General features: G+C 41.2%; 1 protein-coding gene and 1 pseudogene across 1 annotated transcript in view, besides 1 other annotated feature; both read right to left on the bottom strand.

Moving 5' to 3' along the window:
- Positions 1-20,397, bottom strand: part of RBPJ (recombination signal binding protein for immunoglobulin kappa J region) — a 329,683-nt gene that overhangs the window by 303,495 nt on the left and 5,791 nt on the right. The window lies entirely within an intron of this gene.
- Positions 1,142-1,331: an enhancer, noted in NCBI's record as "active region_21388". NCBI's record gives its function as "activates an Ori minimal core promoter by ATAC-STARR-seq in GM12878 lymphoblastoid cells {active_cell/tissue: GM12878}" and the evidence as "EXISTENCE:reporter gene assay evidence [ECO:0000049][PMID:35858748]".
- LOC645481 (zinc finger protein 248 pseudogene) lies at positions 15,685-19,959 on the bottom strand (annotated as a pseudogene).

The following is a 20,397-nucleotide window of genomic DNA, read 5'->3' as shown; positions in this document are numbered from 1 at the left end:
AATCTATCCATCTCATTGTCCTTACTTTAATCATATCTGCAAAGACACTTTTTGCTTATAAAGCAACATTTGCAGGTTCCAGGGATTAGGACCTGATATCTTTTGGGGTCACTATTTAGCCTATTTCAGTGGGCTTCCACGGACCTTCCCCAGAAGCAATACTGGCATCTGTTTGGATTGGTTATGTGAGTGTGTGTGTCTGTGTGTGTGTGTGTAAAACAATTTTCTGAATACTTATTCTGACACCACGTAATACTTGATATTTTCTCTTTTCTGTAACATTTTTTAAAAAATTGCTTGTAACAGCTTACTAAATTGATCTCATGATGCAGGGATGTGACTGCATAGGGATGTGACCCAGTTTGAAAAACATGGCAACCACCTTGTAACCTAGTAACCTACTAGTGCCACAGCTTCCGCCGCCTGTGCTGTGTTTTTATCACAATGGCACTCAACCTAAATTATCACAGGCTAATGAGAAAAGAACGCAGGGAGCCTCGATATGTAAATGATGCGTTTCTGATAAGCTGAGGCCAGTTGGCATGTTGCACAAATGAAGACTAGACCGTAGCTTGGATGGCAGAAAAAGATGGGAGAATCAATCCTCACGTGGTACATGATGGCACAGGCATGCTAAGCTTAGAAGATCCCAAGCCATCGTGGCCCATGCCACAGTCACATTCCACGCCGAAATGTAATTTTAGCAGTTTCAAACAGCATCATCTGCCACATTAAATTAACACATTAAATTAATGAGGATTTTGTAGTGTTGCTTGTACTCTATTTGTAAGATTCATTTTTAAAAATCATGTGAGAGCTGTAAACCTAAGGATTTTTAAAAACCTGGTTTATATTTGTACATTTTCAGGTGATGAGATAAAAAGAAACATAATTCACATCAACTCTCACAGAGTGACGGTGGTAAAGGAGTGCACAGAATTTTTTTCTTCTCATAGAAAAAGGAGTAGATCATTGAAGTTTAGGAAACACTGTGGTGTTACGGGGAGAGTAATGGGAGTCGTGAATGTGGAAATACAGAGAGAAAATGAGTGAGAAAGAGAACAGGAAAAGTGGCAGGACTCGGTTGCTGCAGCTTCAGTAGAGGACGTGAAGCTTGAAAAAATAAGGACTGAGACCAGGCAGGGGAGACCTGAGGAGCGGCTGCAGCCGGCATGCTTCTCAAGACGTCCCTGCCCACAGAAGCTGACAAACCCAAGCAGACAAATTTGGAGTTCAAGTAAGAGAATGATTCAAAAATGGACCAAAACTGAGGCCTGTCCTTAATTACTCATAGTGAGAAGATGTAACCACTCCTTGGGGAGGAGGATGGGCAGTGAGCACTCAACTCCTGTGTTGTATCTATCGAGGTGAACTATGTGCTGGCCTAACTTGCCTGTTCAAGAAGGTGCGGGTGTATGTATTTAGGTAGGTACCACCTCTTGATTTGCTTTGATTCTTTAAAAATAATCCCTCTGAGGCTGGGCATGGTGGCTCATGCCTGTAATCCCAGCACTTTGGAGGCCGAGGCAGGAGGATCACTTAAGGAAAGGAGTTTGAGACCAGCCTGGCCAACATGGTGAAACCCTGTCTCTACTAAAAACACAAAAATTAGCTGGGCGTGGTGGTGCACGCCTGTACTCCCAGCTACTAAGAAGGCTGAGGCAGGAGAATCGCTTGGACCTGGGAGGCAGAGGTTGCAGTGAGCTGAGATGGCGCTGCTGCACCCCAGCCTGGGAGACAGAGAGAGACTCCATCTCAAAAAAATAAAAATAAAAATAAATTAATCTCTCTGCCATCAATATTAAAGAAATAAAAAAAAAATTCAGGTGATGTCCACCTCCATCCTAGATAGACCATCTTGAGTCTGCTGTCTGGAGGCTAGATAGGGAACACCCAGGAATGAACAGGCCGGGTTGCCATTATACAGATGCTGGTTGCTGAAAGTCTTCAACTGTAAACTAGGTGGATTTGGAGATTGATAGGTAACCCCGTCTTACAATAGCATCATCATATCTATAATTTAAGAGTTGTAAGGGACAGTAAGTTCATAAAAACTCATTGGTTTTTCAGATGAGAAAAATGAGGTCCCCCAAAGTAAGTTATTAGTTAAGGTTATTTGGCATGCAGGATGGAGCAAAGATGAGAACCCAGGACTCTTGACTTGCAGCTCAGAGCTCTTTCCACTCAACTTTACTCCAATTTTACTTAATGTTCATGCTTTAGAAAATATCCACTATATGAAATAGATGTACAACACCAATGTGTAGTCACTTTGAAGTACTTTTAGGGTCCACATATTTAAGGACATATTTTTGGATACAGATACTCTTAGGCTCCTTTGAAATGATTCACGGCAGGGTAGGATGGAAAAATCACTGGGCTGGGAAACAGAACACCTATTTGAGGTGCTAAGCTGGCCACTTACTGATTATTAATTTACTTCTCTGAGCCTCCATTTTCTTATCTGTAAAATGGGAATGACATCATTTGCCTTGACTCCCTCATTGAACTAATATGAAGATGAAGTGAGACAATGTAAGTGAAAGAATTTGTATTAATAAATTGTTGAGCATTTTCAGACATTGTATTAGTCTACTTTCATCTGCTGATAAAGACATACCCACGACTGGGTAATTTACAATGAAAAAGAAGTTTAATGGACTCATAGTTCCACGTAGCTGGGGAGGCCTTACAATCATGGCAGAAGGTGAAAGGCACATCTTACATGGCGGCAGACAAGAGAGAAAATGAGAGCCAAGCAAAAGGGAGAACCTCTTATAAAACCATCAGATCTTGTGAAACTTATTCACTACCATAAGAACAATATGGGGGAAACCACCCCCATGATTCTATTATCTCTCACCAGATCCCTTTCACAACATGTAGGAATTGTGGGAGCTACAATTCAAGATGAGATTTGGGTGGGGACACAGCCAAACCATATCAGACATCATCTCATAAGATGCCCGTTTAGTCATCAGAATATAGGCTAATTTGGAATAGTGTATATTGTATATCATACTGTATAGTGATTGAGAAGGAGGGGATTGAGCTCAAATCCATTTACAAAGTGTGGGATTTGGGGCATAGCTACTTCATTTCTTCTGTTCCTCTATTTCTTAATGTGTCAAATAGGGATAATCAGAGGGTCTATCTTGCAGGGTTTTTGTGATGGCTATATAATTTAATTCCTGTAAACTACTGCTTGGCACATAGAAAGTGCTCAATAAATGTTTGCCATTATTATTATCTTGCAAACTTGCTGATGGTGATGTCTTTTTCTTTGTTGTAGGTGTTATTCATTGTCACATTTGTGTGTGCTTTAAAAGTCAGCAAACTTTCAGTGCCCCTGGAGGCCATAGGTAGAACCTCCACACCTCTTCTGGGAATCCTTCCATTTTTAGTATGAAGAAATAGGAACAACAGAGCTGCCTTCCAGAGCCAAGTTGGCAACTAAACCCACCTGCTTCCTGCCTTCCCAAGGCCCAGCTGACATCAGTGGGAGCCTCACCTATATGAGGAGGGACTAGTATTTGCCTTGGCCTGGCTGCTGCTGTTATCTGAAAGGCAGCAGGGGCCCCAGGCCATGCCATCTCTTGCAGGGATCCTGGCAGAGCACACAAGTCAAACAGGATCAGGGTGGGGCATAACTTGGCCCAGAGAACCCACTGACACCAGCTCATGAAAGGTGGGAGCAGGGAGTGCCCCAGATGAATCAATGGGTGGCATGTTTCCCTCTGAGCAGCTGCCAAAAATGCCTCTCAGGCATCTGGTTAAGAGGCAGTGAGTACATGGGGTGGCTGGGAGGCCAACCTCTTTAGGGCCACAATGATTTATCTCATGTCTCTGTGTACATATGTTTCCCTCTACTTGGAGTGTCTTACTCTACTTACCTGCTGGGCAAAACCCTATTCCTAGCTCATCTTTCAAGTCCTAGTTCAAGTCTATGGGGAACCTTCCTGGGATCTAATAGGTAGATTTAGGTGTTTTGTTCCCTATACAAACTGTACTTATATATTTACTCCACCCACTTTATGCTGATATACTCCATCTTACATACTTATATACTCCATCCTCTGTACCACATTACAATTGTTTATTGGTATATGGGCAAGACATGCCATCATGCCTGATGCCTACCAAAAGATTTTCCTCCAGCTCTGCCCACAGACCCTGTCAAACTGGTGAGGCTGGGAGAGAGTGCATTTCTACCACATGATCCTGCTACCCAACCATAGCCAAGGAGAGCCAATCTCCATATGGTTGGTGACCTTTGATGTGGACTAGGTCAGATCAGATTCTCACTGTCAGTGATTTGAATTGGGAAAGACTTTAGCAATGAGCAGCAGCAACGGAAGCTGAAAGGTCATGAAATACAGAAAGATCTGATGTAGCAGATGCTGTGATGTGCTGCCCGGATTCCTCTTCAGGAATGATAGATTTCTTCTCTGTGCCACTGGGAGTGCTGCCAACAGACAGCCCTCAGTTGCCAGCTGTCTTCAGGAAGCATCTCTTTTAAAGAAAGTCACCCCACCCAAGATCATGCACCCTTCCCAGGGAAGCCCATATCCAATGACTGGCTGAAATTCTCAGTGCTATCTCAGCTTCAGAGTGACGTGTGTGGTCGGCTGAATCCTTCATCAAGACTAGGGGCACCACACATCCCTGTGTGACTGGGATAGAGTTGTCCTTTAAGGCGTAATGACCTTTTAAGCTCAGTCCATGAAGTTCATGAAGACTCTCCTGTAATGGCAGCTGGCCTTAAATTCTTAGGCTTTTCCACTGTCCATATGGTTCTCTGTGTTCCTACAATAAACTCAACTTATTTGATGTAACTGGAGTAGACTTCTTACCTTTGCATTCAAAAGCACCTAAGTAGATGATCATTTTTGCATTAGGAGGGAATTTGGTTGTTGACCACAACCCACAGAACCAATGCTGGCCGCCTTGAGGGAAATAAATGAATATATTGGGATGATATTAGAGGTTCTCAAAATCAAAGAAAGGCTGCAGAACAAGTTTGGAAAATGAGCAGGGCATTAGTTTGACCTGCCACCAGTATCATAATGACTATAACCTACAGCTAGAGCCAAGTTTCTTACAGCACTTTCAAGAGTCCACGTCCCAGGAAAGCATCTGATTGGCTAAGCCTAGTCATATGCCCACCTGTGCCGTACCAGAAATGGAAAAGGGAAAGAGAGAGGAGTATCTGTCTCTTTTGGCTACTGTAGTGGGAGACAGGCTACCCACCTCAAAATACACAATGGGGGATTCCCCGAAAAGGGGAGTGATGGGCTAGGAGGAAGTTGGGGTTGGGGGCGGGAAGCCAAAAAACAACAGATGTCTTCAGCAGTGTCTGTCTCCTTCCTAGGCTAAAAGCCTCCATAAGAGGCAGGGACTACCAATTTTCATCTTTGTATCCCAAATCCCTAGTGCCTGGCACTAAATAGGTGTTTCTTTAAAAAGTGCAGACTTTTTAAAGTGCTTGATCTTTTCCATTCAAGGAATTGAATACATCTGGAAAGGCTGGTGTTTGCTCCTTCAGGAATGCAAAGATGGATTTTTTTTTTAAAGCAATTCTTAAGGGCTTTAAAATCTAGATGTAAGGTTGGAGCACACAGGCAGTGATACATCTATATCCATACACATTGTGTGTGACAGACACCATAGAGGAGAGGTGTATCCCCATCCGCACACCTGGAGAGAGCATGTGGAGGAGCTGTTATGCTGCCTCTCCAGCTGCATTGTTCTTATGGGTGGAATCCTCAGGCATCCTATAATCCGCCATGAGGGTGCCTGCTGGTAACTAAAGAAGAGGGACGATTTTTTTTTTTTTTTGAAATGGAGTCTTGCTCTATTGCCCAGGCTGGAGTGCACTGGTGCCATCTTGGCTCACTGCAACCTCCACCTCCCAGGTCTAAGCGATTCTCCTGCCTCAGCCTCCTGAGTAGCTGGGATTACAGGCATGCACCACCACACTCAGCTAATTTTTGTATTTTTGGTAGAGATGGGGTTTCACCATGTTGGCCAGGCTAATCTTGAACTCCTGACCTCAAGTGATCCACTCCCCTTGGCCTCCCAAAGTGCTGGGATTACAGGTGTGAGCCATTGCACCTGACCCAAGAGGGCCATTTTTCTCCCTGTTCCAGATATCTTTTTGGCTGCTTTCTCCAAAGGAATTACATGTGAAACCTGCCTTCCAAGAAAGGTTAAACAGCCTTTTACTCAGAGATTACAGGATACATAAAAACATTCCTCAGTCAGTAGTGTAGAAAAATCAACCTTTGCACTCCCAGGCTGGCTCCATCCACTTCCTATAAAAGTATGTGTGGTGGAGAGGGGACTTCACTGCCTACATCACAGGGTGCCCCATGAGGGGCTCCATAGCCTTCAGCAGCTACCCACATGTTGCTCAGAATATAGCCTACATTTCCCAGCCACCCTTGCAGCTAGGTGTGGCCAGATGACTAAGTTCTGGCCAATAGGATGTGAGCAAGAGGGATGACTGCAATTCCTGACTGGTGTCCTTAAAGGGAAGAGATGTGTCTTTCCTCTCCCCTTTTCCCTTCCCCCTTTTTCCCTTCCTACTGGCTGGATTGTGGACATGGTAGTCAGTCATCTCAGACCATGTGCCCGAAGACAACATCTTAGGGGTGGCAGAATAGGATAGAAAGTGTCCGGGCCTCTGACACATTGCTGTTGCCATAGCAGTCCTGAACTACAGTCGTGTGCCACATAAGGACATTCGGTCAATGATGAACTGCATATGGGACGTGGTCCCATAAGATTATGTGAAGCTGAAAAATCAACATCATAGCACGATGCATTACTCACGTGTTTGTGGTAATGCTGATGTAAACAGACCTATTATGCTGCCAGGCATATAAAAATATAACACATACAGATGCGGTAAACGGAACACTTCTACACCACTTGTGGGACTGTAAACTAGTATAATCACTATGGAAAAAAGTGTGGAGATTCCTTAAAGAACTAGAAGTAGAACTGCCATTTGATCCAGCAATTTCACTACTGGGTATCTACCCAGAGGGAAAGAAGTCATTATATGAAAAAGATGCTTGCACACTCATGTTTATAGCAGCACAATTCACAATTGAAAAAACATGGAACCAACCCAACTGCCCATTAATCAACGAGTGGATAAAGAAACTGGTATATATATATATATATATATATATATATATATATATATATATATATGATGGAATACTACTCAGCCATAAAAAGGAATGAGTTAATGGCATTCACAGCGACCTGGATGAGACTGGAGATTATTATTCTAAGTGAAGTAACTCAGGAATGGAAAACCAAGCATTGCATGTTCTCACTCATAAGTGGGAGCTAAGCTATGAGGATGCAAAGGCATAAGAATGACACAATGGACTTTGGGGACTCAGGGGGACAGGGTGGGAAAGGGGTGAGGTATAAAAGACTACAAATAGTGTGCAGGGTATACTGCTCGGCTGATGGGTGTCCCATAATCTCACAAATCGCCACCAAGGAACATATTCCTATAACCAAACATCACCTGTTCCCCAATAACCTATGGAAATAAAAAATCTAGCACATACAATTATGTACAGTACATAAAACATGATAATAATAAATGACTATGTTACTGGTTCATGTATTTACTATACTTTTTATTGTTATTTTAGAATGTATTCCTTCTACTTATTTAAAAAAAAGTTAACTGTAAAACAGCCTCAGGAAGGTACTTCTGGAAGTACAGAAGACTACTGTTATCCTAGGAGATGACAGCTCCATGCCCCTGAAGACCTTCCAGTGGAACAAGATGTGGAGGGTGAAGATAGTGATATTGATGACCCTGACCCTGTGGAGGCACAGGCTAATGTGTGTGTTTGTGTCTTCGTTTTTAACAACAAAGTTTAACAGTTTAAAGAAAGAAATAAAAATGTTAAAAATAGAAAATAGCTTATAGAATAAGGGTATAAAGAAAGAAAATATTTTTGTATAGCTGTACGATGTGTATTTTAAGCTGTGTTATTATGAGTCAAAAAGTTTTTTAAACATTAAAAAGTTTATAAAGTAAAAAATTATATATAGTAAGCTAAGGTTAATATATTGTTGAAGAAAGAAAAAAAATTCTTTATAAATTTAGTGTAGCCTAAGTGTACAGTGTTTATAAAGTCTACAGCATATAGTATAGATGGTAATGTCCTAGGCCTTCGCATCCACTCACCACCTATTCAGACTCACCCAGAACAACTTGCGGTCCTGCAAGCTCCATTTATAGTAAGTGTTCTATACAGATGTACTATTTTTAAAAAATATTTTATACCATATTTTTGCTGTACCTTTCTATGTTTTGGTATGCTTAGATACACAAATGCTTCCCATTGTGCTCTGGTTGCCTGTAGTATTAAGTACAGTCACATGCTGTCCAGGTTTGTATTCTGGGAGCAATAGGCCACACCATATAGCCTAGGTGTGCAGTAGGCTACACCATCTAGGTTTGTACACTAGTATATAAGTACACTCTATGATGTTCTCACAATAACAAACTCCCCTAATGACACATTTCTCAGAACATAAACCCGTTACTAAGCAATGCATAACTGTATTTATGCCCAATCTGTTCCTGAGAGGGGAGTGTGCTTCTTGTTTGTTTATGTTGCTGCCATTTTGAGTTTCTGTTAGAGCAGCTAATTCTAATGAGGAGGGTCGGCCGACTATGGCCAAATCTGGCCCACCATCTGCTTTTGTAAATAAAGTTTTATTGGAACACAATCACACCCATTCCTTTTTGTATTATTTATGGCTGTGTTCTCCCTGCAATGGTAGGTTGCATTAGAGACCATATGGTTCACAGAGTCTACAATGTTCCCTCTCTGGATCTTTGCAGCCAAAGTTTGCCAGTTCCTACTAGATCCTACTCATTCATATGTATATCAAAATATTAGTGGTGTTTACTTCAGGATATGTTACTCCTTCCTTATGTTTCTCTATATTTTCCAACTTTATTCCAATAAATGTGTTTTACATTAATCATCTCCAAAAAATTCCAAGAAATGTTAATTTAAAATGTTTAAGCGTTCCTCCTAACCAGTTCTCATTACTTTGATCACTATATCTTCCTCCAAATATCTCTGCCTCGAATGGGTGAGTTTACTCCAGAGTCTGCCCTATTTGAACCTACAATACCCACATTCTAATTGTCGCTCTCTGGCCTGCCAGAAACATATGAACCACTCACCAGTTTGTGCAGAAATACTGGAATTTGGTATTGTTTGTGGTAGGATGCTTTTGGTTCCTTGTAACCCAAATCAACTTAATGGGAATAATATTTGCTGTTATTATTGGACAGTCCAAAGACAGGACTCACATCAGATATGGCTTGATCTAGGGTGCAAATCAGGACTCTGTTTTTCTCTTGATCACTTCACTTTGCTTATCTCTAATAATCTGTTTTATCCTCATTGGGGTTTATGTGCCCTAAAAATATGGCTGCTGGAAGGCCAGAGCTTGCATCCTTTGGCTAATAATTTATAAATGTGTCCATATATAAAATTTCAGAGATGATTCTGATTAGCCTTGCTTGGGTCAAAGTTTATGCCTGAACCGATCATGTGCATAGGAGAATGTAATCATTTGAATGGCTAGGTGAAGAAGTTCAAGGTCAACAATGGAATGTGTTTCTCCCATGAAAAAGTGGCTTTACTACCTAAAAAGAAAAAAGAGGACACAGGAGATAAATACAAAAAAAAAAAAAAAAAAAAAAGAGAGATACTCACTCCAAGCAACTTGAGGTTCTTGTGTGTAATCTTAATTGCTTCTGGGTGTGTGACGTAACATTTATTTGAAGATTAATGTGCAGTTCCATTTTCTGATTGGATGCTACTTGATTATTGTTAAATTACTGTGTCAAGCTCAACACATCACAATACCTATGTGAACTCAGGATAATTGTTTTTTTTCCATTTTGGTTAAGACTATGATTTACAGAGTAATTACGTCTGGTTGAAAACTGAAGTGTAGGTAACAACTAGTTTCCTCCAAAAAGCAGGCTATAAAGAGGCAGTGTCAGGAAGCAGTGGACAAAGGGTGGAAATAGGAGTTAGATGATGGAGACTTGAGGCTCTGATCTTCTCCTTCTTAGGGGGTCATGAACAACTTATTTAGTCTCTTTGAGACTTGGTTTACTCTTCTCTAAAATGGGGATAAGACTGATCTCATGATTTTTTCTGAAGATTAAATCTTTTCTGCCAGATGCTTCCATTCTAGGGTTTTAATTATTTGGGCACAAACTTGTCTCTGCCTATTTGGTTCTCAAGTTATTGAGAAACCCACGCAGGAGCACTTGAATAGAGATAATTTTTGTTGACAAAGTAAGATTCAGAGGTGAAAAAGCAGGGCAGCCCACTGGCTTCAGATTCTTTCCATTATGAGATTAAATATTTGCTTCTGCCCAGGGAGCTTGATGCATCAGGTGAGTGCTTGGAATCTATCATTTTCTGAAAATTTTGAAAGGACTCCTTGGAGGAAGTCAATCATTTTGCTAAATTGCTGCTTCAGTTACTGCCCACTTTTGAGAATGGTAGATAGTTTTTCCCTCTCCCTCTGCTTCTCCCCCTACCCCTCCCTCTCCCTCTTCCTCTTCTCTTCCTCTCCCTCTGCCTCTCCCTCTCCTTTCCCCCCTTCATCTCTCTCTCCTTCCTTCCTTCCTTATTTTGAAAAATGTATGTCCATTTATCTTGGTTTAATCACATAGGGCTAGATAAGAATAGCTGGGGCATCTCAGGAATTCTAATTTACACTTTTGCTTCTAAACTACAGTACTCTTGCCAGGCTTCATTCTGTCCACGCCTCAATGGTCTCATCTATAAAGCTGGGATATTGCTTATTTTCCAGTGTGCAAAAAAAAAAAAAAAAAAAAAAAAGTTGAGAAAATGGTCTTGAGTAACCTATTAGGTTATGAAGCTGACATATGGCTATTAGGAAACATGAGATGAGCCAGAACTTTGAAACAATATGGTATTGAGCAATATGGTGCCAAGGTTAGGATGAAGGCAAACAGGTCTCAGAAATTTACCAGGATATTTGCTGTTTGGATAGTATGAAAGGCCATGAGAATGTATGCATTTCACTAACAGGCTATGGGCCAAGACAGAGAGGACTAAATTTGTCTCTCAAGAAAAAAATAGAGGTACCGAGAGAACGATTTCAGGTATGGGTGTTCTATAGAAGGCTCTTCTAGACTGTTCAGAACAAAGACTTGCTTGTCCAAGGTGATGGGTGTTTACTGTAGTGGTACTTAGCTATTTAAAAAGCACAGAAAGTCAACATCAGTTGAAAAGCCTGCCCAGCGGAGATCTGGAAGTTTGTTCAGGGCATTACATGATTCCAGGTCTCAGCAACAAGTTTTATTATTGATTTTCTGGTGCCTTTGCTTTTGTTGTTGCTTTTGAGAGACGGAGTCTATGTCTACTACTACTGCTGACTTTCCACTCTCTCTACTTTCTGCTCGACCTCTTGGTCTTGCTCACTTCCAGCTTCTGCCTCAAGGTGTCCATTTACTGGTGTCTCATGTGGCTTCTTAGCATCTTTCAAATTCTAGTTCTTCCAACTACTCTCTTTTGATATGGCTCAAATTCAGACTTTTCTAGAAAGAGAACCTACCTATAAAGTGGATGTCTTTGCCTCAGGTACAAAGCCCTATTCAATCATTTGTAGCCACAATGGTGGGGTCTTATGATCCCAAACATGGTATTTTATCTATAAGCTATGAAGGAAAGGGTTCTTGTAACTCTCAGCCATTTTAAGGCCTCAGGCCACATCTAGGACTTGAATATATTTATGTTCTGCTTTGTATCATGAAAGAATTGAGGCCGTTACACTGATAATGCCACTGTAATATAGAAGGTGACCTATACCCTATGAGAGGTGCTAAAATGTCCTGTGGAAATTCAGAAAGAAAGTTGATTTCAGCTGGTGATTTGGAAAAACATCATGGGTGAACCAAAATAAAATTGAACACGGAAGGATGGGTAGAATGTGGATAGAAAGGAAGGAGGGGGCTAGTGCCTTCTAGGTGGAGAGAACCGTGTAAAGAAAAGCACAGACATGGACAGTTTTGGGGGAATTGGTGACACATCCAGTTAGAGAAGGTCAGAGACTTTCACAGAAAGGGAGGAGGGGGAGCTAATCTGAAAAATGAAATGCCAAGCTAAAGGGTCCATACTTTCTTTATTGGGTTGGCATTGGAAGAGTCATTAAAGATTTCCAATCTACTCAATGAAGGGATTGGAACTGTTCCTAGGAAGAGCCTTCTGACAGCTGGGCATATAATGGATTGGGGAGGAAAACAATGGAAGACAGAGGTTTTTATTGTCACTCTAGGCTGTGTCAGAGAAATGAGACAATGGATGTGAAATACCTGTCAGAAGTAGAAAATAAAAGCTTATGGTTCCTGAGATTTCACTATATGCAGCCTTGTGCTAGGGGCTTTCCTTACAGTATTTTATTTATTTAACCCACAGTGATATTATAAGGTAGGTAAGATTAGTCTTATTTTACTGATTGTGAAACTGAGACCCGGATCAATGCAATACCCTGTTAAAGATCACATGTTTTGTGAATGGTAGAGCTGGACTTTGTACCCAGCTATGGAGGACTCCAAAAGCCAAGCCCCTTTGACTACTCTGGACCACATCCCAAAAGGACTAGCCATTGACCTAATAGAAGGGGAAAGAAAAAGAGTGGTGTCAAAGAAAGCCTCAAGTTTTCAAGAGTGTGTGATGGAGAGTGCAAATAGTTATGTGGACAGAAATGGGGAAGTCAAAAGAATACCTTTTTCTTGGGAGTTGGAAGTTTAGAAGGATATTTTGTGAGATGAGAAAAATTGTGAGCTTATTTTGACCTTCCCTCAAGGTGTAACATATGAATGAAACTAAGCAACAGTAGAAATTAAAGGACATAAAGAGGTCAGAAGACATAGTGTTACAAAAATGACCAATCAATTACTCCATCCATTCTCTTGTATTCAGACTGACGTGAATGACCACTCTGTTCCCCAGGACCTCTGCCACATTGCCCTGCAAGCCCGAGTGATCTTTCATACCTGCCTGCTGGTATTAAACAATGGGCCCAGTCTACCTACCTTCCCTGCCTACAGTCCTGGAGAGGAGGTAGCACCTGTTTTGTACCACATGATCCCACCTGTTTGGCCACAGTTGGCTGGAGAATAACCAAACCACGGATGGACTGATAACCCATACCTCACCTGGTGAATGATTAATGCTGTAGGATGAACTTTTCTTTTAACCAAAGAGATTCTTTAGTTCTTCACACAAATAAACACCTGGCAGATCCGTGTCTCTAATTCTCCAGACCAAGCCTCTGACTACAGCCAGGGTTTCCAGAGCAGGACTGAATCTCTATGAACCCTTTGCATCCCTCTGTCTTCCAGGTCCAGCTCAGTATCTGAAACCTTGTGGGCAGTCAGTAAATATATATGGGTGAATATATATTTGAATCTTAGTGGTGGACATAGCTTTGGCTCAAGCAAGTTTGTAGAAGTAAAAATACAAACAACTATAAACAAATATACATATTTGTGATATATATTTCACAGATATATATGGAGATATATATGGATAATATATCTAAAATGTCACAAATATATATATATACACAAATATGTATATATCCATGCACAAATATATATATATAATTTGTGGTGTATAGTTGTTTGTACTTTTAAATCACTGCCAAATATTTTATTTTATTATATCATAAGCAGTTATGTCCACATCTGTCTCCACTAATAATTATTTTAAGTGCTAATAGTGTTAGGCACTTTCTGAGTGTTTTATGTGTATTGACTTGTTACTTCTTCACAGAAATACCAAGCATTAGTATCTCTCCTTAACTCCATTTTCAGGATGAGTAAACGTACAAGGAAGTTAATTCATTTGTCAAAGGGTTATAAAGTCAATTAAGTGGAGGAACCCAGCTTCTCCCTAGTTTGTCCCCTGAATGCTATATGCTACACTGCCCTTTCAGAATAGACAGTAAAGTCCATGAAGTCAATCTGACTCATCTGTTTGTTTTCTGCTTGTCACTTAGTAGGTGGTCAGCATGTGTGTGCAATATAGAATTTAATTGCCTTTTCTCAAGTTGGCCAACATGTAATACGTCATATTACCTATTGTATAATATGACATGTGGAGGGTCTTGGTTTTGTTAGGTATAGTGATAGTTCAGATAAAATTGAGGGAGATTGTTAGAACTTGGGGTCCCAGGAGGAGGTAAAATGGGATATCTGGGGCCAGAAAAGCCAGGGCAGGATGCTTGGGCTGCAGGAATTTGTGTACTCTGTTTTGTGGTCATGGGAGATGCCCAGAGGGTGGGGAGCGGGGGTAGCCGCATGGGGCAGGAGTACCAAGGACAGGGTTTCCTTAAGAGTTCTTTCCATTTTGAAAGACCACTATGTTCTGTCCAGCAACGTTGATAGCCCTTCACTTAAAAAATCAACTCTCCTGCCTCCGTTAACATTTACTAAGTGTTATAAATTGAGTGGCCAACTTTGTGGGCCAACCTATATGACTTTTCCTCTGAATGGTTGTGGCTTTGAATCTGTGAAAAGTCAGTTTTCTCAGTTAGAGTCGAAGCCATTTTTACCAGAGGCTTTAATCTAGACCTGGGCTTACACAAAGGTTCCCGTGCATCTCAATGAAGAGCAGGTTCTCTGGAATCTATAGAGACTCCAGGGACCCAAGGCACATGAGCATTGGGAACTGCATTGCAGCTTGCCACCCCAGGAGGGGCAGAAGATTCTCCCTAGTGACAGAGAAGGTGGAGTAGCTTTGGTGCCACTTTGGGCTTGTGGCATGGGTGGCAGCAGCCACAGGTGGCAGTGGCATCCACAATGGCAGGAGGTCTGTTGTGCAGTGGCTTTACAGCACCTTGTGTGGGTTGATCAGACCTTTGCAATCTGTTTGGTGCACCTTCATGGGCATAAGAAGCTTTTGCTATAGTTCTTCCTAGGAATCCAGGGCTGCAGAGGAAAAACATGGCATGTCCCGGGGAGCTGAGAGGACAGTCCCATGAGTCCATGCCACATATCTCCAGGGGACTTCCAGAAACTGCTGGGCGGACTTTGAAGATGGAGAAAGTCAAGGTTTCTGCAATAGCAGGTGGGAAAAAAATGATAGAAATAGTGTGTGAACATGCTGCCCTCAGGCCAGTACTCCTTGAGAGATTTGGCTTCCATACAGGTTAAGAACAGGTAAGATTTTCTTTTTCTGGTTTTTCACAGCATACCGGGCATTCCATATAATGAGGACCAGCTGCAGGCAGCAATGATAGAAAGGTCTTCTGACATCATCCCTGCCCGTTAATTGGTTTGACAACCTGTCAGCTCAATGCAGCCTGCGATGCCTCCACATGAGTCACTCTGTTAGCTGCTGTCAACACGGTGGATGTGCATTTTCAGTGCTGATAGCACAAACAGAAAATGTTGGAATGGTCAATTTTATTGAATGAGAACATGAGAAATGGTCAATTTTATTGAATGAGAACATGATGCAAACTTGGAATCTTGAACTAAATGCTAACTTTGGTATGGTTTTATTTTGACAAATTCAATTCATGGTGCCTGTTTATTTTAAATAGGAAGTTAAAGACTATTGTAGAGTTTTTTTTTTTAACATACCACCACTTTTCATCTGTAGAGTGCAGTGAGTACTACTGTATTTCAACTGATGTTAACCTTTGCATAATTTATGTAAATACTATCCTTATTAACAGCATTTACATTACTGACTGACCCAGAGGTAGCTGAAAAACCTCAGAAAAATACTGTTTCGCTCTTCTTTACTGAAGTGCTAAGTTAGTAATAACAGCCATACCCATTCACATGTGCCAGCAAACAGTCAGAGGCAAGGTATGTAATACAGTTCCTTGTGAAATAATATCTCACTTAAAACTTATACTGAATCCCAGCACTTTGGGAGGCCGAGGCGGGTGGATCATGAAGTCAGGAAATCGAGACCATCCTGGCTAACATGGTGAAATCCCTTCTCTACTAAAAATACAAAAAATTAGCTGGACGTGGTGACACGCGCCTGTAGTCCCAGCTTCTCGGGAGGCTGAGGCAGAAGAATGGCGTGAACCCAGGAGGCGGAGCTTGCAGTGAGCTGAGATCGCGCCACTGCACTCCAGCCTGGGCTGCAGAGCGAGACTCCGTCTCAAAAAAAAAAAAACTTATACTGGCCAACCTGCAGAGCTAGTGTGATAGTATTTAGAATAGGACTGACTCAGAGGTAGTTTAAAACCTCACAAAAACATTTTTTAGCTCCTTTATTGGAGAGGCAGTTCAGCGGTAATGACGATAGGCATTTGTTTATGTCAGGAAATATAAAAAGAGGTATGTGGTTTGTACTATCAAATATGTTTTCATATGTACATGATGATGTGCTGGTAAATATTTGACAGCAGGTTCTGTGAAGAAAATGAAAACCTTGATTTATAGTTTGCCGATTTTGATGGTGTAAATACTGCCACAAGCTACCAACAAAATAGTACTGAATGTGGAGTCGGGAAGAGACGTGCAGTAGCAGTAGATGTGGATAGTATTTTCACCATACAGAGGCAATAATATAAGTAACCTAAACAACAAAGATCATAGTGAAATGTAGCAACCTAATTAGAAGTGATGAGTGTTGGGTATTTATTACCTTTGTTTTTAATATAATAGTAAGTTTGTGTATTTTAAATAATGACTGTTTAATAACTGCCTCACAAAATTCCTGAAAATTTAACAATCAGCAGCACTTTTAAGTCAATATGAGGTGACGCTAGCACATCACTATATTTTAGTATGTGTGTACAAATATATTTACATATACACCCATATATATACACATACATAAGTACATACACACATATAATTATATCAACGTATAAAGATACCAGTGGTAGTTTGTGTGGAAAACGTTAACACGTACCATAATAGTTACTAAACTAAAGGTACGTATTTTCTCCTGACAACCATGTTGGGTTGCAATATGGAAATGAAATATACCAAAATTTGCTACATTAGCATACTCATAAGGTCTACAAACATCAGGGACTTTTCATACACACACACATACATATATATATATATATATATGTACATTCTTTTTTTTTTTTTTGAGAGGAGTCTCACTCTTGTTGCCTGGGCTGGAGTACAGTGGTGCGATCTTGGCTCACTGCAAGCTCCATCTCCCGGGTTCAAGCTTCTCCTGCCTCAGCCTCTTGAGTAGCTGGGATTATAGGCACACGCCACCATGCCCGACTAATTTTTGTACTTTTAGTAGAAACGGGGTTTCGCCATGTTGGTCAGGCTGGTCTCGAACTCCTGACCTCAGGTGATCCACCTGCCTCGGCCTCCCAAAGTGCTGGGATTACAGGCATGAGCCAACACGCCAGGCCCACATACATGTTTAATTCTGTGTCATTCAACTTTTATATGCTTCAGATTCTACTATGAAGATGAGTAAATGAATATTGTCCATTATATTTACAATAAAATTTTGGTATTACATTTGGAATACGACACTAAACAACATAAATTTTAGATAAAGGTTTTTGCTGCATTACTTAGAATTCCCCTCAGTACAAATTTCCTAATGAAAAGGTTTAATTTTTCTTGAATGCTTTCACATATTCAAACAAGAAGTCATTTTCTAGTAATTTCTGACATTCTTTGCTTTCTCTAATTTTTAAAAGTTGAACAAAAATTTGACAGGTGTATGAAGGCTTCTAACATTCAGGATGTGGAAAGACCTTTTGGCCTTGTGTGAATTCTCTGATGTTTGGTGAGAGCTGATTTTTCACAGAAGGTTTTCCCACATTCACTACATTTATAGGGTTTGTCTCCCATGTGAGTTCTTTGATGGACAATGAGATTTGACTTCACACAGAAGAATTTTCCACACTCATGACATGCAAAGGATTTCTCTCGTGTGTGTGTTCCCTGATGGACAGTGAAGGCTGACCTGGGGCAGAAGGATTTCCCATGTGCTTTGCATTCATAGGGCTTCTGCCCTGCGTGAGTTCTCTGATGTTCAGTGAGCTTTGACTTCGCACAGAACGTTTTTCCACATTGCTTACAGTCATAGGGCTTTTCTCCTGTGTGTGTTTGCTGATGGTTGGTAAGGTGTGGTTTCTGGCAAAAGGCTTTTCCCCATTCAGTACATTCATAGGGTTTCTCTCCTGTGTGTGTTCTCTGAAGCTGAGTGAAGTTTGACTTCTCCCACAAGGTTTTCCCACATTCACCACATTCGTAGGTTTATTTATCCTCACTCAGTGAGCTTTCCAAAGCTGAGTGAGATGTAACTTCTTGCTGAAATTATTCCCATTTTCATTGTGGTCAGAGGGCTTCCCCCCATGTGTACTATCTGATGTTTAAAGAGAGTTGAGTTTTCCCAAGTTTTGTCACTCAATTTATATTCATGGGGAATCTTTCTTGTGTAAGCTCCCTGACAGATCATGAAAGTTGAACTGTCACAGAAGATTTCCCATATTCATTGCATTCACAAAGATTCTCCCTTATAGGTTGGGCACGGTGGCTCACACTTGTAATCCCAGCACTTTGGGAGGCCAGGTGGGTGGATCACTTGAGGCCAGGAGTTTGAATCCTGCCTGGCCAACAAGGCAAAACCCCATATTTACTAAAAATACAAAACAATTAGCCGGGTGTGAGACCTGTAGTCTCAACTACTCAGGAGGCTGAGGCAAGAGAATCGCTTGAACCTGAGAGGTGGAGGTTGCAGTGAGCGAGATCCCACTGCTACACTCCAGCCTGGGCAACAAGAGCAAAACTCTCTGCAAAAAAAAAAAAAAAAAAAAAAGATTCTCCCTTATAAGAATTATCTGATCTGATGTCCAAATCTAAAATCAATACAGAAGGACTTCTCACAAATACTGCCTCCATATGGCTCCTTTTCCAAATGAGTTCTTTGAGCTTTCAACAGTGAAAGTTCTTCCACATTCATTATATTTAAAGTGTCTCTGCTATCCAAGATTAACTCTTATTTGTAAAAAAAAAAAAAAAAAAAAAAAGGCTGCCTCCTCATAGAAGCCTTGTCCATTTTTATTATACTCAAAAGGTTGGTCAAAAATTATCTGAGTGAGAGCCTGGTGATGATTAATGACATCCCTCTTTTGATCATATTTATACAATTTCTCTCCAATAGGAATTTTCTCAAGCCTAATACCAAGGAGTAATTTCTCACGTACATTAAATGCATCAGGCTTCTTTCTGGAACAGTTCTTTTGATCAATAATTAAACGCAAAGTATCTTTCAAACTCATTTCACACAAGTCACATATTTTATTAGGAAATGTTCTTGAAGAAACAGGGTTTGTACCCAAATTGGAAGTTTTTCTTACTCTATTACCACTTTCTATGCTTACTGTTTTGTTTTTGGTGAACACAAGCTCCCAAAAATACTTGTCTTGGTTTTCCTGGCTGCTCTCTGACAGGTCATCAACTTTCCAGTTCCTTTCTGGGTGGTACTGGCTTGGAAATCCTTCCTCTAATATTCCGGAGCCCCTTGCTCTATCTTGAAGATCACGTCTGGCTTAGTAATGCAACACCTGGCTGAGACCAGATTGCTGTAAGTTTCCAGAATCACATCTCTGGACAGCATCTTCTGAGCAGGATCCAGCAGATACCACTCTTGCTGGGTAAAGTCTATGCATACATCCTTGAATGACACTTGTTCTTGGGATTTGTTCATTTTCTGTGTAGTGGAGGAGAGAGAGGTCTCCATGTGTCACTCTGATATGTGTTGAGCTTAGAAATGACCCTTTTCAATGAGTGAATGTAAACATTTATTTCTTATTAATTTACTACCAATTTAGGTTCTCTCTCTTAAACTTGTTCCAGACCTCTCACCTGCACACACACTTCAATGGCTTCAGGATCCCACCACTCCCTTGTCATGTGCGACCAGAGGCCAGGGATTGTTTCCCATGAGGGACTGGAGGCTGGGGAAGGATGAGCCAGGAAGTTGGGGGAAGCCAGGGATGCACATGCATATCGTAGAGTTTTTTTCCCCAAAGCCCCAAAAGCCAGCCATGCAGAACATGCTGTGAAATTGCAAAGCTTGTTTGGCCAGCTTTAGCCCATCAGCCCTGCCTGGGCTATAGAAGAAGAGAAGAAAGAGATGAGGAGTCCAGTGAAGAGTAAGAAGCTGTTGGGGTACACCATGAGGGTGCTGGGCATTTCTGTGCCCACTATATAGAGATAGGGAAGGGAGCATGTTCCCTTCACCTGGAACCTAGTGAGGAAAGTGTTTGGAGAGCTGCTTGCAGAGATGTGTAAGAGTCTCCTAGAGCTTGGGGCTGGGGGGACAGGGACCA

This window comes from Homo sapiens, chromosome 4 (assembly GCF_000001405.40).
Source record: "Homo sapiens chromosome 4, GRCh38.p14 Primary Assembly".
NCBI lineage: Eukaryota > Metazoa > Chordata > Mammalia > Primates > Hominidae > Homo > Homo sapiens.
Note: the sequence above shows the minus strand (reverse complement) of the source record. Positions and strands in the feature narration are given on the sequence as shown.